At 41.2% G+C, this 28,000-nt stretch overlaps 1 protein-coding gene and 1 long non-coding RNA gene across 11 annotated transcripts in view, besides 1 other annotated feature; one reads left to right on the top strand and one right to left on the bottom strand.

The window, feature by feature from the left end:
- The window catches only part of LOC102725258 (uncharacterized), a 43,463-nt gene extending 19,710 nt beyond the window's left edge, over positions 1 to 23,753 (bottom strand). For 8 of the 10 annotated variants that reach the window (XR_001749117.2, XR_944911.3, XR_944912.3 and 5 more), the window contains exons 1-2: positions 9,216 to 9,334; positions 54 to 188 (exon numbers count right to left, since the gene is read on the bottom strand). This is a non-coding gene — a long non-coding RNA (uncharacterized LOC102725258). Of the gene's footprint in view, positions 1 to 53; positions 189 to 9,215; positions 9,335 to 23,645 lie in introns of those variants that run through there. The other 2 variants (XR_001749121.3, XR_001749122.3) reach the window with 2 other exon arrangements.
- Positions 8,041 to 8,241: a silencer, noted in NCBI's record as "peak1716 fragment used in MPRA reporter construct". NCBI's record gives its function as "represses an SCP1 promoter by STARR-seq MPRAs in K562 erythroleukemia cells {active_cell/tissue: K562}" and the evidence as "EXISTENCE:reporter gene assay evidence [ECO:0000049][PMID:32103011]".
- OR10AD1 (olfactory receptor family 10 subfamily AD member 1) lies at positions 18,822 to 19,775 on the top strand. Its single transcript, NM_001004134.1, has one exon. It carries the CDS (start codon positions 18,822 to 18,824, stop codon positions 19,773 to 19,775), a length of 954 nt encoding a protein of 317 aa, NP_001004134.1.
- Positions 23,754 to 28,000: the final 4,247 nt, after the last annotated feature.

Genomic DNA, 28,000 nt, shown 5'->3' with positions numbered 1-28,000 from the left:
GCAAAGAGAAAAACTTAAGAGGAGCCTGAAAAAAAAAAAAAAAGGCAGATTACCTTCAAAGGAACCACGATCAGGTTGGCAGTGTTTTTCTCAATGATGCAAGTCAAAATATAAAATTTTCTTGTTTAAGATTCCATTGTAGCAGACTAGAGAAGGGTTGTAAGTCACAGTGATATGCTCCTGCTGGCCTGGAAGAAAACAAACATCCATGCTGTGAACTGCCTGTGGGGGCCGTGTGGCCAGGAACTCTAGGAGCTGAGACCAATCCCCAGATGACAGCTAGTAAGTCATACGACTGCAAAAAAATGATTCTGCCAGCAACCAGTGAGCTTGGAAGAAGACCAATGCCTCAGATGAGAATGGCAGCCCCAGATGACTCCTTGATTTCCACCTAGTGAGACTGAGCAGAAGACTCAGCTAGTTCATACCCAGACTCCCAACCCATGGAAATGGTGAGATAATTTTCACTTGTAATAGTAAAGAAAAATTGTAAGATAAATTTTAAGATATTGTAAGATAAGATAAAGCAAAAAAATCATATGATAAATTTTACTATAAGCCACTAAATTTGTGGTAACGTTACACTGCAATAGAAAACTAATATATGTTTTAATTTTTTTTTTTTTTTTTGAGACGGAGTTTCACTCTGTCGCCCAGGCTAGAGTGCTGTGGCGCGATCTCGGCTCACTGCAAAGTCCGCTTCCCGGGTTCACGCCATTCTCCTGCCTCAGCCTCCCGAGCAGCTGTGACTACAGGCGCCTGCCACCACAACCGGCTATTTTTTTTGTATTTTTAGTAGAGACGGGGTTTTACTGTGTTAGCCAGGATGGTCTCGATTCCCTGACCTCGTGATCTGCCCGCCTCGCCTCCCAAAGTGCTGGGATTACAGGCGTGAGCCACCGCGCCCGGCTGTTTTAAATATTTTTAAGAAAATACTATGGAAAATTTTATGCCATTAAATCTGATAATGTAGATAAATGAAAAGTTATTAGAAAAATATAATTTTCCAAGTTGAAGAAGAAATAGAAAAACATAAACACACATATAAGCATGAGATTAAATGAATAGTTTAAAAATATTTCTATAAAGCCAGACATATGATTTTAAGGCAGATACTATCAAACAATTAAGGAAAAAAATGCTAACTTTGACTATACTAGAACAAAAGGAAGTACCTCAACCTTTTTAGTGATGTAAATATAACTTTGAAACTAAAATTTGCCCCCGGCAAAAAAGATAATTTCACTCTTGGACATAGTTGCAAAACTCCTAAGCAAAATTTTAGCAAATTGTATATTACAATATATTTAAAAGATTATACCTTATATCATGACCAAAGTAAAGTTTATCCCAGTAATTCAAAGTTGATTTTTTATTTTTATTTTTTAATTTAATTTAATTTTTTTAGAGACAGGGTCTCTCTTTGTCACCCAGGCTGGAGTGCAATGGTGCAATCAGCCTCAACCTCCTGGGCTCAAGTGGTCCTTCTGCCTCAGTCTCCTGAGTAGCTAGGACTACAGGCATGAATCACCATGCCTGGCTAATATAAAAAAATTTTTTTTAGAGATGGGGTCTCGCTGTATTGCACAGGCTGGTCTCGAATTCCTGTCCTCAAGTGATCCTTCCACCTCAGCCTCCCAAAGTGCTGGGATTACAGGCATGAGCCACTGTGCCAGCCTTGAAGTTGATTTAACATTAAAAAATGAATTAATGTAAATTACCACAGGAACAGAAAATGAAAAATCACATAATCATCTTAAGAGATGCAGGAATGCCATCTATTTTATTGAAAATTCATGTCTGTTTGTAATTTTTTGAAAAAAATCTCAGCAGACCAGGAATAGAAAAGAACTTCCTTAAGCTATTAAAGTGATTATAAACCAAAACCGCATAGCAAACATCATCTTTAATAGTGAAACATTAAAAGCATTATCTGTAAGATCATGTCTACTTTGTTATTAATAAAGGTGATATTTTGACCTCTATCTGCAGACTCATTGTCTTATTTCTCAGTTGATTCAGAACCATATGGGAGAGTAATATTGTTTACTGTATCCCCCTCGAGGTCCCATACAATTATTTTAAGTGATATTATTATATGTGTGGAAATAAAATTGCAAACAAAGAAAACAATAGAGTTTTGGTTATAATTAAAATATACTCAGTCATAATAATGTCTGGCAGGTCCTGGAAGAAAAGAATGCTGGTGATACACATATTTTGCATTCTCAAAGTACAGTGCGGGTGAATTAAGGGACAGAAATCTGCATTCCATGACCACAGCAGCACAATGTACAAAGTATGCCATTGTAGACTAGACTGGTGGGAAAATGTCTTATTATAATGTAATGCTCTGATTCTTGTCATATTTACCTAAGAGGGGCAGGACAGTATTGAATACATTCAACAGCAACAATGTTTCTGTTGTTCTCTTAGCATGCTGTAAACACAGGAAATAAAATATAATACATATTTTATGGTTTATTATATGGAATCTGTTTTAGGAATGGGGTTAGTGCACTTACATTGTAAATGAACTCATCAATCTTGTTTAAATCATGTAGGGTCTTCTGTTAGAAAGCTTCAGCCTATGTGAGGCTTGACTATCTTCTTGTAGTCTGCTTTAAATAAAATGGGCCTCTCATAATTTCAAACCTTACACCACTTAAAACCTGGTTTATCTAATGCATACATAAATCTCTTACTTTTTCGATTAAATTAAATGCATCATTTCACGATGCAGAAAAACATCATTTTTTCTGGGTGAATAAACTTTATAGTAGAAAAATTTAATGTGGTGTTCATGGATCCCCAGGGAATCAACAGATATGTTTCAGAGTGTCCACGCATCTCTGAAATGTTGTAGGAAAAGTTGTGAGCAATAGAGCATTTTTCTTGGTGAGTCCACAATTTATCAGCTTCCCTAAGGCTGCTGGAACCCATGAAGGGTTAAAAATTTCTGTTTTGAAGTCACAAAGTTCCCACAAATTTATTTGGTCTGAAAATTATTCTTTTATCTTGCTGAATTGTTTGTTTCCTCAAAAGTGTCTCCAATGGAGAGTGATTGAGAGAGAGTTGAGCAGCCATCCACCACCAGTAGCCTCTAATAGAGCTTCAGTAAAGTACTGGTGGATCCCAACAGTAATAAGATAATAAAATAGGAAAATATGCACAAATAATTTTTAAAAATAGGTACAAGAGAAAATATCTGCTAATGACTGACAGATTCAAAGAATCTTGTTCATGGAAAAAGACATTTTTGTAACAACAACCAAAAAAAAGGCCAATCTAAGTGAGATCAAGAATTAAGTCTAGAAAGTCTTCCATTTAGGTACAAACTTGAAATTATACCTAAACTTTGAGGAATGCCTTAAGAGGCAGAGAGTAGCCATAAAAAATGTTCATTTGGTAATTGAATTGTTTGTGGATATGTGATTATTGTGGTATAAAAGAGAGACTCAGTGAAGAGAAGCAGGTTCCCTTTCATCTTTATTAAGGAAGATAAACAACAGCGATTCCTGTCCCTGAATTTGACAATGAGTGGACTGATTGGAGGTACCAAATTCCATAATGGCCAATACGTAATCATTTTGAAATTGAATATATAAAATAAAAGATTTAAATTAGGGCTTATTTGAAAATTGAATGGAGATTTTCTTTGCTACTCAAGGCAGAGAACTAGAGCCAGCACTTAGGATTTACAAGACTTGTCTTCCCTCCTCCCGCTCTGAAAATTTCCCTGGTCAAGTAAGATTAAATCAACAGGCAGTCTATAGGAAGAAGGCAAAACCATCCACCCTCCTGATTCTAGCCCAGAGAGCACATAGTTTGCCCTAAAGTGGTAAATCAATTTCTCTTTGTTAACTAAAAATAAGAGAATGTGTATGTTTTCATTAAATGGGAAAACTAATAAAATTTAGAAATCAGACTAATAAAAGCAAAGAAAGGACGTTTATTCATTCAAAAATACAGATAAGATGACCAGCTTTAGGAATCAATGAGGAATGAGCCCTGGAAGTAGGCCTGCTAAAATACAAGCTCAACCAGGATCTTCCAGAGTTCCTTATTAGTGAGACCAGGGTTACCCAGAACCAGATAGATAAGGGGTGAATGCACAAGTTGCAGTGTCATTTGTAAGATTCAGCTGCCTATTTGTGCAAGGAGAGAACCAAGTAATTGCATCTGGTTGGGTAGGTGTTTTGCATCAGGAATGCTAGAAAGAGATGAAACTACACTGAGACCCTTCACCAGGAGCAAAAAGAGAGAAATCAAAAAAGAACAGCCCACAGCAAAAGTCCCTGTAAGATCAGAGCGCTTTGGCCAGGCGTGGTGGCTCATGCCTGTAATCCCAGCACTTTGGGAGGCCAAGGCAGGCGGATCACGAGGTCAGGAGTTCAAGACCAGCCTGGCCAAGATGGTGAAACCCCGTCTCTACTAAAAATACAAAAAATTAGCTGGGGATGGTGGTGGGTGCCTGTAATCCAAGCTTCTGGGGAGGCTGAAACAGAGAATTGCTTGAACCTAGGAGGCAGAGGTTGCAGTGAGCTGAGATCGCACCACTGCACTCCAGCCTGGGTGACGGAACAAGACTCTGTCTCAAAAAATAAAATAAAATAAAATAAAATAAAATAAAATAAAATAAAATAAAATAAAGTAAAATAAAAACTCAGAGCCCTTGTCCGCCAGACCTCTCTGACCTAGCACCAGCCCCATCATTAGAAACATAAGGTCAGCCCCTTACTCTATCCTTAAATGGCCAGAAAAAAAAAAAAAAAAGCTGTTTCTCCATCTGATTTTACATATAACCCAGAAAGCCCTGGAATTACGGTATTTTTAAAGATTTTAAAATTTGAGAACTCAGAACTCTGTGATTTTCACTAAGACATATCTGCTAGGAATAAAATCGGGAAACAACAAGCAATAAAGTTTTGCCATGTATTTCCTAATGAAGTTGTGGAGACAAAAGCATGTGGACCCATGTTTGGGGAGGCATTTGCAAGACAGATGTAAATGACTTTTAATGAAGGGCAACTAAGCCTTAGTGAGAGTTCCTGGAGGCCTCTGCTTGACAAGTCTGTTGCAATGTAGCAACTCATTCCAATGTTGCACAAACCCACTTCAGAAGTGCTTCTACAGGCCTGTCCATTTCCCTTCTTTTCTATTTTAAGTTCATTCCCATTTCCCTTTTCTTCAGCAAGATGGACAGTGAGTAGTTTGCCTTTAATGGTGCCTTGCCTTGCAACAGATTTAAGTTAAATTGTAGAAGTGTTCTAAATTCTCTCATTGCTTCCCTCCCAGTTTTTTCTGCCTTCACTTTGCTCCATTCACCTCTTTGCTACCATATCCACTTCAGTTTCTCCATATCCCTCTGAAAGTGAGGATCTCTGAAGTACCTGCAGCCCCTGAAGATGCCTAACCAAGGCCAAGTATTATGAATGTATCCAGACTTGGCATGCCAGACCCCTGTGATGAGACATCCCTGTGATCTACAAAATAAGTGTAAGGCACAAACTGTCCTGGAAGGTCCTTCTTATTGGTCTGCATTAAAGGGAGATGTTATGGGGGAGAGACAACTATCTGAGCCGATGGTGCAGGGGTAAAAGAATTTACCAAGAGAATTAATTGTAGGTACAGAAAGGCAGATTTACTAGAGAAAGTAGGAAAATATTTTGCCAGAGAGGCAACTGGCAGTATCAGCATGAGAGAAGCTGACTGCAAAGAAACAGGCTTGGCTGGAGAGTTTATATTATAGAATAGAGTTTATGCTGTATGCTGAAAAGAGCTTTGTGCAGTGCTGATAATGCCAAGGTTGCAGTGAACTAACTTCAGGGTGTCTGGTAATAGTTGGGTACAGGAAGATTGCGAGTTATTTGTGCAGGAGGGCTATATGTCCTGGACCACGAAGAAAGGTATCTGCTTTCTTTTTTTGCTTTCCCTTGGTCCTGCCAGCCTGACTCCTTTTCCCTAATTAGGACTCCACAGAAGACATAATAAATAATGAAAATACCAAAAATAACCTCATCCTAATTTTATAGTGGAGGTTTTAATTCCGTATTGTGCCTCCCTCCATATCATAAGATATGATCGCCTTCCATGATCCCTATCCCTTCTCCAGCTGAGCCCTAAAGTGAATCTACTATTCCACTAGAAAAGCTATAACAAAAACCAGACGAGATTTGCTGCTCCTCCCCCTTCTCACAGTCACCTTCAATATGGGGATTTAAACAAAGAGTAAAATAACCAGAAATCTAAGGGAAAGACAGAGAAAATGATATGCAAAGCTATCCATGATAATGCTCCTCTGTGTGTATGTTCAAAAGAACTTAGTAATCAAGAAGAACCACGACACATCAGTGGACTGGATAATAACTTCAGCTGTTCCATGGCATTGATTAATCTGAGCTATTTTGCTATTTTAAATGCCTGAAAAAAATTGGACTAACTCTAAATAGCTTAGAGAAGAAAGGGAAAGAATGAGAGATATGAGAGAGAAAGACACACACACACACACACACACACACACACACACACACACACAGAGAGAGAGAGAAAGGGAAGGAGAGAGAGAGAGAATTCCTAACAGAGAGAATTAGTACTATCCTCTATAGCAATAAGGCACAGAAGAGAAAAATTTGAAACACACTGAGAGTCCTGGATTATGAAATAGATGTTTTTTAAGAGGTGAATAGTTATGTATTTATGAGATTCAAAACCTCAAAACAGTTCAATAGCAAGAAAACAACTGAATTTAAAAATAGGCAAAAGGACTTGAATAGACATTTCTTAAAAGAACACAAAAAATGGCCAACAGGTATATGAAAAAAATGCTCAACATCACGAATCATCAGGGAAATGCAAATTAAAACCACAACGAGATATTGCCTCACACCTATTAGCAAAAAGACAAAAGATAAGTGTTGTGAGGTTGTGGAGAAAAGGGAATACATGCACACTGTTGGTGGGAATGTAAATTGGTATTGTCATTTCTTAAATATTATAGAGGTTCCTCAAAAAATTAAAATTAGAACTACCATATGATATATCCAAAGATACGAAATCAGTATGTCAAAGAGACCTCTGCACTGTCACAATCTTTGCAGCATTATTCACAGTAGCCAAGATAGAGAATCAACTTAAGTGTCCATCAATGGACAAATGCGTAAAGAAAATGTGGTATATATATACAATGGAACACTATTTAGCCTTAGAAAAAAACCAGGAAATTCTGTTATTTGCAACAACATGGATGAACCTGGAGGATGTGATGTTAAATGAAATATACCAGACACAGAAAGACAAATACCACATGATCTCACTTATATGTGGAATGTTAAAAAGTCAACCTCAGAAACAGAGAGTAGAATTGTGGTTACCTGGGGCTGGTAGGGAGTGAGGACTGGGGAGATGTTGGTCAAAAGATACAAACTTTTAGTTAGATGGGAGGAATAATTTCAAGAGCTCTATTGTACAACATGATGACTAGTTAATAACAAGGTATTAATATATTCTTGAAAATTGCTAAGAAAGTAGATTTTAAGTGTTCTCACCACAAAAATGATAAGTATGTGAAGTAATGGATATGTTAATTAGCTTTATTTAGTCATTTCACAATGTATACATATATTAAAACATCATATTTTACACCATAAATATATATAATTCTTTTGCCAATTAAAAAAAGAATTCACAGTCTTACTTTGAGTCAGACTGGGGGTACAAGGTAAAATGGCTTTGTTATCTCAAGCTAAATGATTTGTAAAATATTTTTTTCCTTTGCAGACTTAATCCTTTTTTTCCTCAGACGTAATAGTTTAAAAATGATTTGTAAAGCTGATGTATAAACACATTAAAAACACACAGACTTGAAAGTGCATCATTTTACAGAGAAGCAGTGAGGCATGGCACAGGGTAACGTAGAGGGACTTCGGAGACCGGCATACCTGAAATTCAGCCTCGGCATTGCCATTTACTCAATGGGAGTCAGCTAGCTGAGTCTCAAGTTTTTCTCCTACAAAATGAGGATTAACTAAAATAATACATGATTAGTGGCTTACACAGATAGACAACAAACATTAGTTCTGATCTCTGTTTCTTGTCTGTCTCCCTGTGGTTTCACTTCACCTATGGAAGGAAGATTGTACAGACTTGGCCAGGCTTCCACTTGTAAGCCCAACTGCTTCTGCAGAAACCCAGAGAGAGGAGAGGGTCTCACCTGCCCTTTCGAATCCATCCTCATGTTTCCGGCTTCTCAATGCCAGGAAATTATTTACATCTAACTCAGCCTTCACCTTTTCTCCTAATCTGGTTCCCAGAAACATTGTAAACAAATGTGGAACTCATGCTCTGTATCAGTCTCTAAGAGAGGACCATCCTTGAGTTACTTCTCTGACTCCCTTTCCCCCGGGAACAAGAAAGAAAAATCCCAGATAAATAGAAAATACTGACATGCACAAACATAAAGACGAAGGTTCAAAAAAAGGAAAGAAAATAAATGAGAGAAGTAATCAGAGAGACAGACACAGGGGGAAAGATCTCTTCTCTCTAAAAAGGAAAGAAAAATGTTAAAGCCAAAGAAAGAACTAGAGGGACTGAAATATAGGGAGACTGGAAAAGAGTGTGAAAATATAATAGGTTTATACAGAGAAACACATCTAAAGACACAGTCACCATGAACACCAAACTAGAGACAGAAAAAAAAAAAGAGGGCACTAAAAGCCAAACATGGAAAAGTGACTGAGAAGCTGATCAGGCCTGCTGGGCATGTGTCTGGTAACGTGGACTCAAAACCAAGGAACCAGGTGCCTCCCAAGTTCTGGGAACAAGAGGCTGACCCTCTGGTTTGTCTCCTCATCCCCAGCCATTAGAAACAGGCCTCTGCAAACCACGCTCAGTGACATCCAAGGCATCTTCCCTTAGCCCAAGCCAACAGGGCAGGTGGGCACACTGATGTCCTGATGGAAACACGGAGGGGAGCTGCAGAGGAAGAAGTGACTACTCGGAGGAAGTTGGGACCACAGCGAGCTTAGAGAAGGAGAAACAGAGCAGAGGGGGGTTAACGGAGTCAAGATTTGTGACAGCTCCCCAGTGCCTGCTGTGTGGAGAGTCCTGTTGTGATCTGAACATGGGCTGTTCCTGAGGGAGCCATGAGTGTTAATCTCCAGGGATGTCCAGAGGCAGGGGCGGCTATCACAGCAGAAGTGAGTGAATTCACTGACCTTCTCCATGGGCTTTGGCAGACGCTGGTGAGGACATTGGCTGTGCTAACCTCAGGCTGAGAGGGATCCAAAGGTGCAGAGTGAGGTGCGGTTTTGCTGCAAACCAGCTGCTCATTTACAAGCTCCTTCCTCCACCCTCCTTCCCCATTCCTCACTTGAGTGCGCGCGCGCGCGCGCACACACACACACACACACACACACACATACACACACACACACACACACACGGCGGGGGGGAGGTGGGGAGAGAGAGAGAGGGAGGGAGAGAGAGAGAGAGAAGCATGCTTGAGCTTCTAACTGGTTACTGTAATAAGACCAACTGTCTATTCTTGAAGCCTGACCATTCCAACCCGGGGGATAGTTTTGAACCAGTCCTTTCCAAGGTTCCCTCGTGAGGCCCTGTCCATGGCATGTGGCCCAGGAAGGTCTAGAGCAGTTCCAGGTTTCCCTGGGAAATTTCTATTACCATTACCAGATGACTGGATAGATAAGGAAGCCTAGCATATATCATGATCCTTGTGCCCTCAGCTTCAAATCTGGGAACACTTTAACTTTTGTCCACCCATTTTCTAATTTTATTTTGAATTAATTTTCTAGCTAGAGTATGTGCTGACTTAGTTGCCATTTCTTGTGCCCCTAATTAAATATTTGTTATATCAGTATACTATGCTCAACACAACAACAAATATTGACTGAGCCCCACTCAGTGCCAGGGACCTTATTAAGTACTGCTGATAAAGTGGTAAACAGACAGACAAAAGATCTGTCCAATGGAGCATATATTTGATAAGTTGCTCCCCTCCTAACCCCCATCCTCTCTACCTCTTCATTATCACAATTTTCTTCTTCAGATCTGTATACCCTTCTTTCCCCGACCTACCCACTGTTTTTCCAAAGTTCGGCCCAGTACTAAATTATCTACCATTTAAATTCTGCATAACCCAGAGAAGTTCAGTTATTCTCTCCCTCCCTCAATTCTCTGCAGTCCTTCCTTTCTTCTCTTGAAATACTTGGGGCCACGTGCGGTGGTATATACCTATAACCCCAGCACTCTGGGAGGCTGAGGTGGGAGGATTACTTATCTCAGGAGTTTGAGACCAGCTTGGGCAAGATAGCACAATCTTGTCTCTACTGAAAAAAAAAAAAAGCTGGATGTGGTGGCAGGTGCCTGCAGTCCTAGCTACTTGGGAGGCGGAGGCAGGAGGATTACTTGAGCCTGGGAGTTTGAAGCTGCAATGAGCTATGATCATGCCACTGCACTCCAGCCTGGGCAACAGACTGAGACCCTGTCTCAGAAAAAAGAAGAAAAAACAAATAAATAAATACTTGGACTGCTTTAAAACTGAATTTATAAATTTATGAGGCTTGTGTCCTGATTCATTCTACATGTTGGTAAGATGGCTTTTTCTTCCCATTCTACAATACAAGAATACCTTCTCCACCATTCCCAATTTGGATCTGACCAAATCTAATCTAACTGGGACATTTTGGTAGCATAATTCAGTTTGTACATAAGACAGAAAAGCTAGGCATCAGGAAATTGACCTTTGCAGTACAAGATGTCTGATGATCCTTCATATATCCACTCAAAAGTGCCTGAGAAAAGCAAACTCTTCAAGCACTTTAAAAGCATCTATTTCTATACCACTAATTGGTATGCTAAGTAGGAAGCTTATTTCACTGCTCACTTCCATAAAATCTGTGATCCAGAGCATTTTATTGACAAAATTCCAACACAAATATGATGGGCAATTCAAATTGTTCCAAATAATATTCTCTTCCTAGAGAGGACTGTATGAAGAAAATTAGTATGTTTTTAATCTGACACTGTAATGTTGAAATATCACTCTTACAGTGTATTTATTTAGTGTGTTTGGGGTGAAAAAATAATTATACCAAAAAAGAGTTGTCCTAAAAGTGGAATAACTCTTGGAGCTATCAGGGTGAAGAATCATTAGCTTTATGGATATTCCGTGAAGTATGTCTACACGTATTTCCATTTATTTAGATTTTCTCTAATGACATTCAAAGAACTGGCCTTTTCTGGCTGGGCGTGGTGGTTCACACCTATAATTCCAGCACTTTGGGAGGCTGAGGTGGGAGGATGACTGAGGTCAGGAGTTCGAGACCAGCCTGGCCAACATGGTGAAACCCTGTCTCTACTACAAATACAAAAAAAAAAAAAAATAGCTGGGCATGTTTGCACATGCCTGTAATTCCAGCTACTTGGGAGGCTGAGGCAGGAGGATCACCTGAACCTGGGAGGCGGAGGTTGCAGTGAGCCAGGATCGCACCACTGCACTCCAGCCTGGGCAACACAGCAAGACTCCATCTCAAAAAACAAACAAACAAAAAGAATTGCCTTTTTTAAAATTATTTATTTATTTATTTATTTATGTATTTATTATTATTAAACTTTAAGTTTTAGGGTACATGTGCACAATGTGCAGGTTAGTTACATATGTATACATGTGCCGTGCTGGTGCGCTGCACCCACCAACTCATCACCTAGCACTAGGTATTTCTCCCAGTGCTATCCCTCCCCGCCTCCCCACCCCACAACAGGCCCCAGAGTGTGATGTTCCCCTTCCTGTGTCCATGTGTTCTCATTGTTCAATTCCCACCTATGAGTGAGAATATGTGGTGTTTGGTTTTTTGTTCTTGCGATAGTTTACTGAGAATGATGATTTCCAATTTCATCCATGTCCCTACAAAGGACATGAACTCATCATTTTTTATGGCTGCATAGTATTCCATGGTGTATATGTGCCGCATTTTCTTAATCCAGTCTATCATTGTTGGACATTTGAGTTGGTTCCAAGTCTTTGCTATTGTGAATAATGCCGCAATAAACATACGTGTGCATGTGTCTTTATAGCAGCATGATTTATAATCCTTTGGGTATATACCCAGTAATGGGATGGCTGGGTCAAATGGTATTTCTAGTTCTAGATCCCTGAGGAATCGCCACACTGACTTCCACAATGGTTGAACTAGTTTACAGTCCCACCAACAGTGTAAAAGTGTTCCTATTTCTCCACATCCTCTCCAGCACCTGTTGTTTCCTGACTTTTTAATGATTGCCATTCTAACTGGTGTGAGATGGTATCTCATTGTGGTTTTGATTTGCATTTCTCTGATGGCCAGTGATGGTGAGCATTTTTTCATGTGTTTTTTGGCTGCATAAATTGTCTTCTTTTGAGAAGTGTCTGTTCATGTCCTTCGCCCACTTTTTGATGGGGTTGTTTGTTTTTTCTTGTAAATTTGTTTGAGTTCATTGTAGATTCTGGATATTAGCCCTTTGTCAGATGAGTAGGTTGCGAAAATTTTCTCCCATTTTATAGGTTGCCTGTTCACTCTGATGGTAGTTTCTTTTGCTGTGCAGAAGCTCTTTAGTTTAATTAGATTCCATTTGTCAATTTTGGCTTTTGTTGCCATTGCTTTTGGTGTTTTAGACATGAAGTCCTTGCCCATGCCTATGTCCTGAATGGTAATGCCTAGGTTTTCTTCTAGGGTTTTTATGGTTTTAGGTCTAACATTTAAGTCTTTAATCCATCTTGAATTGATTTTTGTATAAGGTGTAAGGAAGGGATCCAGTTTCAGCTTTCTACAAATGGCTAGCCAGTTTTCCCAGCACCATTTATTAAATAGGGAATCCTTTCCCCATTGCTTGTTTTTCTCAGATTTATCAAAGATCAGATAGTTGTAGATATGGGGCGTTATTTCTGAGGGCTCTGTTCTGTTCCATTGATCTATATCTCTGTTTTGGTACCAGTACCATGCTGTTTTGGTGACTGTAGCCTTGTAGTATAGTTTGAAGTCAGGTAGTGTGATGCCTCCAGCTTTGTTCTTTTGGCTCAGGATTGTCTTGGCAATGCGGGCTCTTTTTTGGTTCCATATGAACTTTAAAGTAGTTTTTTCCAATTCTGTGAAGAAAGTCATTGGTAGCTTGATGGGGATGAAGAATTGCCCTTTACATTGGAATTATTCTTAGGTACTTCATAGTTTGCACAGTATTATTTATTTATTTTTGTTTCAACTTTTATTTTAGATTTATGGTGTACAGGTGTAGGTTTGTTACCTGGGTATATTGCATGGTGCTGAGGTTTGGGGTATGACTGATCCCATCACCTAGGTATTGAGCATAGTACCCAGTGGTTTTTCAACCCTTGCCCCCCTCCCTCCCTCCCCCATCTAGTAGTCCCCAGTTTCTATTGTTGCCATCTTTATGTACATAAATACCCAATGTTTAGCTCCCACTTATAAGTAAGAACATGCAGTATTTGGTTTTCTGTTCCTGCATTAATTAACTTAGAATAATGGACCCTAGCTGTGTCATGTTGCTGCAAAGGACATAACTCTGTTCTCTTTTATATCTGCATAGTATTCCACGGTGTATATATACCACATTTTCTTTATCCAGTCCACCGTTGATGGGCACATAGGTTGATTCCATGTCTTTGCTATCGTGAATAGTGCTGCAGTGAACACATGAGTGCATGTGTCTTTTCAGTAGAATGATTTATTTTCTTTTGGATATATACCCAGTAATGGGATCACTTGGTCGAATGGTAGTTCCGTTTTAAGTTCTTTAAAAAATCTCCAAACTGCTTTCCACAGTGGCTGAACTAATTTACATTCCCACCAACAATTGTTGAGGTATCTCCACAACCTCAACAGCATCTGTTATTTCATGACTTTTTAATAATAGCCATAGTGACTGGTGTGAGATGATGTCTCATTATCATTTTGATTTGCATTTTCTGATGATTAGTGATGTGGAACATTTTAAAATATTTGTTGGCTGCTTGTATGTGTTCTTTTAAGAAGTGTCTAGGCTGGGCATGGTGGCTCACGCCTGTAATCCCAGCACTTTGGGAGGCCGAGGTGGGCGGATCACGAGGTCAGGAGATCGAGACCATCCTGGCTAACACGGTGAAACCCCCTCTCTACTAAAAATGCAAAAAAATTAGCCCAGTGTGGTGGCAGGCACCTATAGTCCCAGCTACTCGGGAGGCTGAGGCAGGAGAATGGCAGGAACCAGGAGGCGGAGCTTGCAGTGAGCCGAGATCGTGCACTGCAGCCTGGGAGACAGAGCGAGACCCCGTCTCAAAAAAAAAAAAAAAAAAGAAATGTCTATTCATGTATTTTGCCCACTTTTTAATGACTTTTTTTTTTAATTGGATTGCTTAAGTTCCTTTTAGATTCTGGATATTAGACCTTTGTTGGATGCATAGTTTGTGAATATTTTCTCCCATTGTGGAGGTTGTCTGTTCACTCTGTTGATAGTTTCTTTTGCTATACAGAAGCTCTTTAGTTTAATTAGGTCCCACCGGTTAATTTTTGTTTTTGTTGCAATTGCTTTTGAGGAATTAGTCATAAGTTCCTTCCCAAGGTCAATGTTTAGGATGGTGTTTCCTAGATTTTCTTCTAGGGTTCTTATAGTTTGAAGTCTTATATTTAAATCTGTAATCTATCTTGAGTTACTTTTTGTGTATGGTAAAAGGTAGGGGTCCAGTTTTATTCTTCTGCATATGGCTAGCCAGTTATCCCAGCTTTATATATTGAATAGGTAGTCCTTTCCCCATTGCTTATTTTTGTCAACTTTGTCAAAGATCAGATGGCTGCAGGTGTGCAACTTTATTTCTGGGTTCTCTATTTTGTTCCATTGGTCTATGTGTCTGTTTTTGTACCAGTACCATGCTGTTTTGATTACTGTAGCCTTGTAGTATAGTTGGAAGTTGGGTAGTATGATGCCTTTGGCTTTGTTCTTTTTACTTAGGATTGCTTTGGCTACTTGGGCTTTTTTGTTATTGTTGCTCCATATGAATTTTACAATAGTTTTTTTCTAGTTCTACAAAAAATGACATTGGTAGTTTGATAGGAATAGCATTGAATCTATAGATTGCTTTGGCCAGTATGGCCATTTTAATGATATTGATTCTTCCAATCCATGAGGATGGAATGTTTTTCCATTTGTTTGTGTCATCCACGATTTCTTTCAGTGGTGTTTTGTAGTTCTTCCTGTAGAGATATTTCACCTCCTTGGTTAGGTGCATTCCTAGGTATTTTATTTTTTTTTTGCAGCTATTGTAAATGGGATTGCATTCTTGATTTGGCTTTCAGCTAGAATGTTATGGTGTGGAGAGGTGTTACTGAGTTTTGTGCATTGATTTTGTATCCTGAAACTTTGCTGAAGTTGCTTATCAGTCTAGGAGCCTTTCAGTGAGTCTTTAGGGTTTTCTAGGTATAGAATCATATCATTTGTGAAGAATGATAGTTTGACTTCTTCTTTTTTAATTTGGATACCTTTCATTTCTTTCTCTTGTCTGATTGCTCTGGCTAGCACTTCCAGTTCTGTTGAATAAGAGTGATGAGAGGGGCATCCTTGTCTTGTTCCAGTTCTCATGGGGAATGCTTCCAGCTTTTGCCCAATCAGTACGATGTTGGCTGTTGGTTTGTCATAGATGGCTCTTATTATTTTGAGATATGTTCCTTTGATGCCTAGTTTACTGAGAGTTTTTATGATGAAGAGATATTGGATTTTATCAAAAGTTTTTCTGCATCTATTGAGATGATCATATGGTTTTCATTTTTTATATACTTTGCATAGTATTTAAAATGGTATCTTAAAATTACATTTTCTAATTTGTTTGCTGGTAACAGAATTGCAATTAGATTTTTGCATATTGATTTTGTATCCAGTAAACTTGTTAAATTCTATTAATTTTAATAAATTATTTGTGCATCCTTTTAGTTTTTATGAAGACAATCATATCATCTGTAAATAGAGTTTTGTTTTTCATTTCTACTTCTTATACCATTTTTTCTTTTCCAGCTTTACTGTACCACCCTTAATATAATCTTAAATAAAATCTTAAATCTTAAATAATGGTTACCTAAGCTTGTTTATGACCTTACAGTCAGGTGATCTGCCCGCCTTGGCCTCCCAAACTGCTGGGATTACAGGCATGAGCCACCGCGCCCGGCCTTCAGTGTTTTTAACACAAAATAATCAATATTTGGGAGGCCAAGGCAGGTGGATCATGAGGTCAGGAGTTCGAGACAAGCCTGGCCAAAAGGGTGAAACCCCATCTCTACTAAAGATTCAAAAATATTAGCCAGGCGTGGTGGTGCGCGCCTGTAATCCCAGCTACTCAGCAGGCTGAGGCAGGAGAATTGCTTGAACCCGGGAGGCGGAGGTTGCTTTGAGCTGAGATCGTGCCATTGTACTCCAGCCTGGGCGACGGGGCGAGACTGCATCTCAAAATAATAATAATAATGTACCAGTCTGGTATATTTGGGGGTGGCACATCTTTCACTTCTTCGAGGGGCATGTAAGTTTTCACACCTCTACTATTAAGTGTATACACATGAAACTTATCAATGTCATTTAAGTAGACATTCATCTCTAATAGTATAGATGTCAAAGAACAAAGTCATCAGACACACCTTCTCTTCCAGAGTGGCCTGCCAGGTCAGATGATCCTACTTGGACCAGCTTCTCTTCAAACACTATGAGATGTTTTCTGTTACTTGTTACTTGATTCAGTGACAAACATCATTATCAGCCAAGCAACAGAATGAGGTAGGATGTGATTTCCATGAAATTGTCCCATTTATTTAGACAAATCCTTCACCTAGTAACCTCTAATGGTAGCTAGCAAGGCACTAAATGCTGGGTATCACAGAATTCTTTCTGGCACAATAAACCACAGGTAAGCATTTATCCTCCAGTAGGACCAAGTAATTCCTCAGGTCTAACCTCAGTTTATTCTTAGACAAATCCCAGGCTTTTCTGGAGGTAGCTCACTGACTTGTTTTCCCCAGACTGTGACCTAAGCCCCAACATGTCCATTGAGCACAGTCTTCCAAGAAACATCTTAAACAGTGCTCTCTGCCCTTCCCTTCCCTTTCTGGGCCCCCAAGAGAAGTCCTAGGCACAAGAAAAGTATCCCAAAGTAAAGATGATGGGAATAGCCTACTGCCCAGACGCTACCTTGACCTAACATCAAATCATACCTAGAGGGAATCTAGAGCTGCAAGGAGTGGCAGTGAAAGGGTAGGTAGCTCTAAATCCAGATAGAGAATATGTGAGATTGAGAGACATGGAGAAGACAGGGGAGTTTGACCAGAGTAAGATAAACGGCAGGCAACCAACACCACAAATGAGAAAAGGAGAGGGAGAAGAATGAGGATTGGAAGTAGACTGAAAAACGAAAAAAGACTAACAGAGGGTAGTGTGAGAGTGTGTAGAAAAGAGAGTAGGAGAGGAGAAAATAAAGAGAAATGGTTGGCAGAACTGAAAGTTAAGCAGGAATATACTTATCATCTATAAGCATCTGAAGATGAGGATGGGTGCAGTAGCTCACATCTGTAATCCCAGCACTTTGGGAGGCCAAGGCAGGAGAATCACTTAAAGCCAGAAGTTCAAGACCAGCACAGGTGACATAGTGAGTACCTGTCTCTATAAATTCTTAAAAAAAAAAAAAAAAGTATAAGCATCTGAAGGTGGAAGGGATCTGATACATCTTAGCTCCAAAACAACATGAAAAGTATAAGACAGACTTAATATGAACATAACAACTTCCTAAAAGTTACAATAGAGAGATAAGAGCATAAGAATTGTGACCGCTCATTCTTTGAAAATGGAAAAAGAACAAGATTTGTTGCCAGAGACAAAGAGACAGTTGAAAGTTCTCTGAAGGTCCATTCTAGAAAGGTTAGATATATGCCCTGCTCATAGCTTCCCTTTTCACACAGGGATGGTTGGATCCTTTCCACCCAATTGTGTGTAACCGTAAATTCCAGCCCCAGGAGGAAAACCATCTCCTATTAGGAAGGCATGCATGAGCCCCCACCCAGCCCTCAGCTCCAGCATGCACAGCATGGGTGGCTGCGGTAGCAGCAGCAACTGCTGGGCGAGTGAGTCTGGGAAGAGGTGGGTGACTGGGAAGAGCTTGACATGACTGTCTCCAAAAAGGTGCAAATCACTGTTAGCTGAGGGACAATTGTGAGGATTAGAATGTTTTTATTTTCCCTGAAACTTCAACCCATTCATCATTTTAAATTAGGTACACAGAGGTTGAGCATTTTTGCTTCTAGAAAAATACACCTTCAAATATCTCAAGTGCTTCCTAAATACAATCTTCTATAACCTGATAGCCACCAGCCCTTTCCCTCACACACTCCATTCTTCAATTCCTAAAACTTTTCCTCAGTTGGCATGGTCCCAGACCCAATTATCTTATTTTTTCACCTCTGAATACATCCTGGTTAATGGCTAATCCTTCAATATTGAGGGCTCTGGAGCAGATGCAATACTTCACTTGATGCCTGATGAAACCAGAGTAAAGAACATTACAACCAGCACTTTCTTCATCTGTTGATATTATGATTCTATGTATGCAGCCTGTGATGACCCTGGCATTTTCACCACCCCGTAACACTGCCAAATTACTAGTTTACTAAGTTCCAAAAGGTTGACCACCATTCATCCATCCTGTTTTATAATTGGGCTTCTGGGACCAAGTGGGTACCTTCTATTACCCCACAGCTATACCCTTGTGCTTTTCCCATCATCTTTCCTCCTCAAACAGGCCCCAGATGCTAAGGAATGGCAGCATAGTGACGGAATTTATCCTCGTGGGCTTTCAGCAGAGCTCCACTTCCACACGAGCATTGCTCTTTGCCCTCTTCTTGGCCCTCTACAGCCTCACCATGGCCATGAATGGCCTCATCATCTTTATCACCTCCTGGACAGACCCCAAGCTCAACAGCCCCATGTACTTCTTCCTCGGCCATCTGTCTCTCCTGGATGTCTGCTTCATCACCACTACCATCCCACAGATGTTGATCCACCTCGTGGTCAGGGACCACATTGTCTCCTTTGTATGTTGCATGACCCAGATGTACTTTGTCTTCTGTGTTGGTGTGGCCGAGTGCATCCTCTTGGCTTTCATGGCCTATGACCGTTATGTTGCTATCTGCTACCCACTTAACTATGTCCCGATCATAAGCCAGAAGGTCTGTGTCAGGCTTGTGGGAACTGCCTGGTTCTTTGGGCTGATCAATGGCATCTTTCTCGAGTATATTTCATTCCGAGAGCCCTTCCGCAGAGACAACCACATAGAAAGCTTCTTCTGTGAGGCCCCCATAGTGATTGGCCTCTCTTGTGGGGACCCTCAGTTTAGTCTGTGGGCAATCTTTGCCGATGCCATCGTGGTAATTCTCAGCCCCATGGTGCTCACTGTCACTTCCTATGTGCACATCCTGGCCACCATCCTCAGCAAAGCCTCCTCCTCAGGTCGGGGGAAGACTTTCTCTACTTGTGCCTCTCACCTGACTGTGGTCATCTTTCTCTACACTTCAGCTATGTTCTCTTACATGAACCCCCACAGCACACATGGGCCTGACAAAGACAAACCTTTCTCCCTCCTGTACACCATCATTACCCCCATGTGCAACCCCATCATTTATAGTTTCCGCAACAAGGAAATTAAGGAGGCCATGGTGAGGGCACTTGGAAGAACCAGGCTGGCCCAGCCACAGTCTGTCTAGCAGGAAGGCCCTGAAAGGAAAGCTCCTTCACCTGGGGAATGGGAGAGTTACCCCATCCCCAGCCCTGGCAGATGAGTAACTCTCCTATGCTGAAAGGCTCCAGGAAAGAGCGTTCATGGCTTCCTTGGCACTAGAATCAGACCTGAAAGTTCCTCCTGATGTCCAATGTCCTGATGTTATCTCTCTGACTTCACTTCCACATTGTTTTTTCTTGGACCTTCCTCGGGAGAATTTCGGATTTTCCTTAGTTTTTTTCCTCAGTTTCTTTTCCTCTTAAGTTCTCACAACAGGATTCAATAAATAAGTGCACTTAACTCCATTTTATTTGTATATACCTTTACATGCTAGTCCCCCAACCTGAGTTTCGTACATACATTTAGAAATAAACTCTTTTATTTTTCAGCTCTTCATTTTACTGTTTTTCTTTCTCAAATTCCACTCTCACTTCCTGGGTCTACCCTCATCTACCCAATTCCTGTGAAAAGTAGGTAAAGAAGCAAGAAAAAAAGGGCTGGGCGCAGTGGCTCATGACTGTAATCTCAGCACTTTGGGAGGCTGAGGATGGAGTTTGAGACCTGCCTGGGCAACATAGGGAGACCCATCTCTACAAAAAATTTAAAAAATGAACTGGGTGTGGTGGCACATGCCTGTAGTCCCAGCTACTGAGGAGGCTGAGGTGGGAGGATTGCTTGAGCCTGGGAGGTTAAGGCTGCACGAGCAATGATAGCACTGCTGCACTCCAGCCTGAGCAACGCAGCAAGACCTTGTCTCATTAAAAAAAAAAAAAATGAAGAAGAAGAAGGAAGGAAGGAAGGGAGGGAAGGAGGGAGGGAGGGAAGGGAAGGGAAGAAAGAGGGAACTAGGGGTAAGTACTCACATAAGAAAAGTCAGTTAAAGAAAAAAAAAAGATCAGCACCCTGAACTTCATCTTCTTAGCTTCCACCAGTCATGGGGGGAGAATGATACTAAATGTCAACAGTGCACTCAATTTGTCTGTGTTGTGTGTTGTCGGGGACGGATGGGTGATAGAGGCCAGTGTGCCAAACCCCTTCTCCTAAATCCTCTAGCTTCCTTTAGCAACAGGACCGTCTGCATGATATTTCCCTTCCCATGCAAGTGGCAAGTGCCTCTACCAAGCTTCTCAGGTTACCTATTTCCTTCCCTGTTATCCATACCCCAAATTAACTCCCCTCTCCCCCTACTGCCTTCCTTTTTCTCTTCCATCTTTCATTTCATTCCACCTCAATCCTACTCCACCTTACCTCCTCATCTTACATGGATCCCTGTATTTTAAGGAACCCTTCTGCATACTACCTCTACCATTGCAGAAGTCTTTCAATTTGTAACCCTGCCCTCTGTGGCTTCCTCTAGCTTCTCACCTTAACCAAACACAGCTTTCTTTGAGAAGGTACTACATCCTCAGCAGTTCTCTTTCTTTGAAAATTGCATTTTTCTCATACCCCTTCATAATAAAACAAGGGGGTAGGCCTGTTCTTTATTTCGCAGTGCACTTCCATAATATGAATGGACCTCATTTGGGATGCTCTCAAATAGATGTACTGCCCTTTCCACTCCTGCGCATCACACACTACCCTTTGCAATGATGACTTAAAACAGTAGCTTCTGGCAGCACGTGGTGGCTCACACCTGTGATTCCAGCACTGTGGGAGGCCAAGGTGGGCAGATTACTTGAGGCCAGGAGCTCAAGACCAGCTTGGTCAACATGGTGAAACCCCGTCTCTAATAAAAATACAAAAATTAGCTGGGCGTGGTAGCGCATGCTTGTAATTCTAGCTACTTGAGAGGCTGAGGCAGGAGGATCACTTGAACCCAGGAGGCAGAGGCTGCAGTGAGCCATAATTACACCACTGCACTCCAGCCTGGGTGACAGAGTGAGACTCTATCTCAGGCAAAACAAAACAAAACAAAACAAAACAAAAACAGTAGCTTCACTCCACAAAACTCCAATCTTTTGAGTCCAAATTGATTTCTCCAGAAATCAGAGGATGTGAGAAGCTCTTCTTAACAAGGAGAAAGGAGAAACCACTGTAATTGGGAAGAAACGATAAATGCAGAACCTAAAATTTCCATTGTCAAAATTTGCATCAAAGTTAAACAGGCAAGAAAGACCTTAAGACTATTGCAATACGAGATTAAACTCAACACTACTCAAACAAGGGTCTGGGAAGTTTTTAAGAGCTGCTGTACGGGAAATCACATGACATCTGTGTTTGCTAACTGCAAAGGAAAAGGACACTTTCTTGTATCTTCAAAACAAGCTGTAGTTTTACAATTCCAAACAAGGCACCCACAGGAGGTTAGGCTCCCACCCTCCCACAGAGACTGAGAGATAGGGGTGCTATCTTCCTTGATGATTACATTTCAAAGGGATGGCTCACAGGTCCTTGAGAAAGACATTCCCTAGGTCGTAAAACTGGCATAAGCTTCTAAGGAGATTTATACACATTTCAAAGGAGCAGAGAAGAATTTTGCAATCACAAGTTTTCTAAAGTAAACACTCAAAGAAAGGGGAGGTCAGGGCCCTAACATCCAGAAGAAACCTGTCTAAAGTTGTCAGGCTGAGGTGAATGTTAAGGCTCTTTTGGTCACCACTGAGAACAACAACAAAAAGGTCCCAATCTTTCCCCCTAGGGTCTCAGCTTCTTCTCTAGGTTTGAAAATTCCTATCTCAAAGAGGAAAAAGTGAAGGAAAGGAAGAAAGGGAAAGGAGAAGAAAGACTGCTTTTAAAAAGTTTTCTAAGAAATCATTTCTTAGCTTTACATTTGCCCAGCACTGACAGACGCTGAGATTATAAACAAGACAGTTCCAGCTTTTGAGAATCTCAGTCTAGTAGGGCAGGCAAGAACAAATAATGGTAATAGAAAGGGCAAGCGTTATAAAAGGCCTACACAAAGTACTTTGGAAGCACATATGATAACATACTTATTAAGCACTTATATTGTAAGAGCTTTCCATTTAATCGTCACATAACCTTATGAGGTACTAGTATTATCTCAATGTTGAGATGCAAAAACTGAGGCTCATAGAGGTCAAATACTCAAAATCCACAGCATTTACAATGGCATAGAGGCCTGCGCCTATAATCCCATACACTCAGGAGGCTGAGGCGGGAGGATTGCTTGACCCCAGCCTGCAGTAAGCTATGATCCCGCCACTGCACTCTAGCCTGGGCGACACAGCGAGATCCCATCTCTAAAAAAAAAAAATTAAACTAAAGAAAAATAATAGAACAGCATAGCTCCTGTTCCTAAGCCTGCACTCCTAAGAAGGTCCAGGACAGCGCAGGCTTTATACCAAGGAGGTGATACTGGCTGCGCCGTTAAAAATACGCTGGAGTTGTAACGTAGAAAATTGGGGCGGGGGTTCGATACCGGGGACGAGTGAAATTCCAGGCAAGAGGAATCGCCCGCTTCGTCGTAGAACTGGTGTTGTCAACATGGATGGCGGAAGGTGAGCTGGGGCCCGGAATGCTGGCAAAGCAGGCCGAGTGACCTAGAACTGCTTTTTCAAGGACGAGCACTGTCTCATTCAAGGCCCTGGGCTCCCGGAGGCCCGGGCGCCAGACGGGAACGGACGCGAACCGAGCTCGCACTAGAAGCCACGGCCCTGGCCGCGTCTCCCCTGCCGTAGCTTCGGCCCTGGTCCCTGGTCTCTGGAGGACACAAATTGCCCCCAGACTCTGCGAAAACCCATGAAAATGTAATTAACCAGAAACCACCCTGAAACTGCACGGCACTTCCCAGTCCCCTTTCATGTCCCAATGAAAGACACTTGTCGCTGGTGAGCACGCAACCAGGCTCTGAGGTTACCACGGCGCAGCCCAAAGACCGAAAATATGGGAAGGGTACCCAGGAATTGCCTCCCGCAGGGTTTGGCTGGGCCCTCGGCTCCCTCACACTGAAAGCTGAAGCTGTCGCCATATTTCCGAGGCCGGCTCCGCGACGCACTTGCAAACTACCCAAGAGGCTGTAGGGCCCCTGACCTAATTAGAACCTGGAGAGGAAATAGGCGTGGCCCGCGCTGACGGCCTGTGACGAATCAGCCTTCTTCGGCCTCTCGGACCGGGGCTGTGGCAGCCAATGAGCGCCCTCTCTTTGGCCGCCTCGCCCGCGCCGAATTGCGGGAACCTGACAACCTCTGGGGAACACGATCTATTCTGGGACACCAGTGCGGCTGCTCAGTCCCTCCAGCGGGAGATGCGGACCTTGAGGCTTAGGATCCCCTCCTAGCCGAGTGGAATGGTTGGGATACTGCGCCCTATTGGCGCAGAATGGGATGGGAGCGAAGCAAGGTTTGACGCAGACCTGAGCAGAGGTCTTTGCCAATCACATCCACCTCCATAGCTCCCAGCCTTGATCACGGATCCGAAGCCAAGTTCTTTCGCAGTGAAAGCCCCGACTCAGCGAATTGTATAATTGTTGAATCCGCTTCCCTCCGTTGAACAACAGTGTCCTTTGAGCTGCCTTACCTCCCCTTTCCAGGTATCCACTCCGTGAAACCTCCCATAAGCCCTACCCCTTTCTGGGCTTACTAGACTTTCTTTGAGTTCCCTTAATAATCTGTGCGTTTTTCTGTCACTGTACTCCTTTATTGTTTTAGAGTGTATTTACTTTCCTATCTTCTCCACTCGTCTGTGATTTATTTTGTAATTCTTTGCACAGTATCTGGCCAGAGGAGGTGCTGTAGTGCTATTTCCTCAATGAACTCTTAGGCAGAATCCTGATGTATTAACCAAATAAAAACAGAGCTGTTCTGATAGGAGTGGAGTGGGAATGTCCAGAGCCCTGAACCTTCACGGAAGCCCCCGAGACACCTATTATTAGTGACTTCCTCTGAAATATTCAGTTTAACATATAGAAATATGGTTTATCTAGGAGATGAAAAATATATTTAGATCCTCAAGGAGCACTTGGTTTGGGTCAGCCTTGAAGACCCAGCTGCATTCTCACTCTTGGGTTCTGTGAAATAACCTTACGCCCATATAACAAATGTTTTTGTTGTTGTTGTTTGGCTTAAAGCTGTCTGAAATGGGTTTCTGTTTCTTGCAACTGAAGAGTCTTAGCTGAAGAGGCTTAACTAGGGCAACGATGCTTCAGTGTGGTTATGAGGATTAAATAACATAAAGTATTTCAAGCACTTCAGTTAGCACCTCCAGAAATGTTTCTCCCCTCTTCCAACTGTTAACAGTATCGCATGTACCGAGACCATCAGACTTACCTGTGTTTTGTACATGCTCAAAATAAGAGCCCATTTTGCGGTCAGTTTTCTTTTCTTTTTATTTATTTATGTATTTATGTATTTATTTATTTTTTGAGTCGGAGACGGAGTTTCGCTCTTGTTGCCCAGGCTGGAGTGCAATGGTAAGATCTCGGCTCACCACAACCTCCGCGTCCCTGGTTCAAGAGATTCTCCTGCCTCAGCCTCCCAAGTAGCTGGGATTACAGGCATGCGTCACCACTCCCGGCTAATTTTGTATTTTTAGTAGAGACGGGGTTTCTCCATGTTGGTCAGGGTGGTCTCGAACTCCCGACCTCAGATTATCCGCCCCCCCCCCAACCCCGGCCTCCCAAAGTGCTGGGATTACAGGCGTGAGCCACCTCGCCCAGCCAGTTTTCTTTTTTGCAAGTTTTTCCTCATTCCATCTTTCAGGTGGTGTTATGATTTATGTTTTTTTTTTTGCTATGTTTTAAAGTTTTGTTTGTTCCTGAAAGGATTGAGTTAGTCATACTCCTCAGTTCATGGCATACTATCATCAGACCATGACAGTGAGGCCCTCTTGTTTTATTTATTTATTTATTTATTTATACCCTTCAAGTCCCATTTTCTCACTACAATAGGCAATTTTCTAATGTGCTTAATGTGGATATTTCCATTTATGTGTTTTCTAAACATAGTTATTATTTCGTGAGCATGCATTATTAAATGTACTTCAAACCTACTGAGATATTTGTCTCATTACTTATATTTGTTTAACCTAAGCACTGTTTTTTGGCTCCATCCACGTTGCCAGATGTTAATATTTAATCTGTTACTTCACATTGATGCCTAATAGTCCGCGGTATGCATCTGTCCACTCTTCCATTGATGAGCTCCCATGCTGCTTCCAACTCCATGCTACTACAAATAACCCTGCATTGAATCCCCTTGTGAACTTGTAAATAATTTGTTTTATGTTACTTAGGGGAGGAATTGCTGCTGGGCTACTGGGTATAAATCTGTTTAATGTGTCCGAGTAATGCCATATCGCTTTCCAAAAGTGGTGGAACCAATCTTGCAGCAGTGCAAGATTCTGTATTTCCACGTCTGACAACACTTGCAATTTTTCTTTTTCTTTTCTTTTCTTTTTTTTTTTTCTTTTTGAGGCAGAGTCTCACTCTGCTGTCTAGGCTGGGGTGCAGTGGTGTAATTATGGCTCACTGCAGCCTCCCAGGCTCAACCGATCCTCCTGCTTCAACCTCCTGAGTAGCTGGGACTATAGGCACATGCCACCATGCCCAACTAATTTTTTAATTTTTTTGTAGAAATAGGATCCCACTGTGTTGCCCAGGCTGGTCTCAAACTCCTGGGGTCAAGTAGTTCTCCTGCTTTGGCCTCCCAAAGTGCTGGGATTACAAGCATGAGCCACTGCACCCAGCCAACATGTGCTATTTTCTAGATTTCTAATCACTGGTTTGATAGGAATAAAGTGATATCTCATTATTTGTTTAATTTGCATTTGATTACTAATGTAAATTTCCATATATTTATTAGCTTTCTCCTCTGCAATTAATTGCCTGTTCATATTCTTTGCTTCTTTTTTTTAAATTGGGTTGCTTTTTCCTGTTCATTTGCAGGCGTTCCTTACATATTTTAGGGTGATATTACACTGTTGTCAGTTTTAGACAAAGCAAATATATTCTCCATTCTGCCATCTGCCCGTTAACTTCGTTAATGATGCCCTTTATGGAACAGAAATCCTTAATTTTTTAATAATGAAGCTCCCCAGCTTTTGCTTTATGACTTGCGCTTTTAAAACGTTGAAATATGGGTACCACTTTCTTAGTTGTGCTTATTCTCTGCCAGATATCTCCAAATCTGAATTCACTGGTGAGGTCTCTAGGCATTCCATTCACTCCTCTTCACTGAATTCCAAAGTCACTGTTCTGACTGAATTTAACCCTCTTTGAACCTTTTCCCTCATACAGTCTCAAGCTATGAAAATCATAGCCTTTAACTGTTTGAAGTCAAGTTTTTCATAACCCTGGACACATATTTCACCTTATCTCCTTGGCTACCAGAAACTCAGTGACGTGGTTACTTTCTCTCAAAGATTTTTCTTCACTTCCATTTCACTAATCAGTTCCATCTTTGTGGGTCAGAATTAGATCCAGAATAGCAATCTGTACTATGTCACCTCTTCCTTCTGAGGAATGACATTCACATTAAACAACATATCCTCTGATTCTGGAACTTGGTTTTGTGCCAGTTTCATTATTTGCTCCTGGGATCTATAATCCAGTTTATGTATCTGTTTTGTTAGCCCTTGGCACATTTTAAAAATGACATGACTTATTTCCTCTCCTTTATCTTTACCTAAATGATTCCTTTCTTGTTTCCATGCTCAAGAATATAAAAAGCCCACACAAGACTCTACCTTCGTGATTAAAGGGCTACTCTGACTTTCCTTCTATGATTTTCTTTTGTTTTTACATTCCTTGCACTTATTTTCTTTTGTCTCTTTCTTTCCTTCCTTCATCCCTTACCTGCCCCTTTTTTCCCTCTTTCCTTCCTGAATTTTACAAATGCCAGGGACAAGGGCTAACTTTCTGTAGATCACAGCAAAGAAGCTGCTTCTGACCCAGAAACAGGTTTCCCACAAACACATGGTGTGTGTCCCATAACCAGCAACCCTTTCCCAGCTGCGCATCAGAACTTAGTTCTGTTTCTATGGAACAACGTATTGTACCTTTTTTCACTGCCAGGTTCCAGGTGTCAATCCCATCCTACCATGTTTCTTTATGAGATTTTATTTTCCTCATTGAATAAAATCTAAAATTCTATATTACCTGTATTTTGTGCATTGGTGTGGAGGCCATAAGTAGGTTTTTTGTTTTGTTTTGCCAACTCCATTGTACTTACTTTTTCCAGAAAATTACTAGGATACTGCCTCTGCTATGGCTCTTTCTCCAGTATCATACTTGATGTCCTCTGTAGCATAAAATGT

This window comes from Homo sapiens, chromosome 12, assembly GCF_000001405.40.
Source record: "Homo sapiens chromosome 12, GRCh38.p14 Primary Assembly".
Classification (NCBI taxonomy): Eukaryota; Metazoa; Chordata; class Mammalia; order Primates; family Hominidae; genus Homo; species Homo sapiens.
The sequence above is the reverse complement of the archived record's forward strand: the minus strand, read 5'-3'. Positions and strand labels throughout refer to the sequence as shown.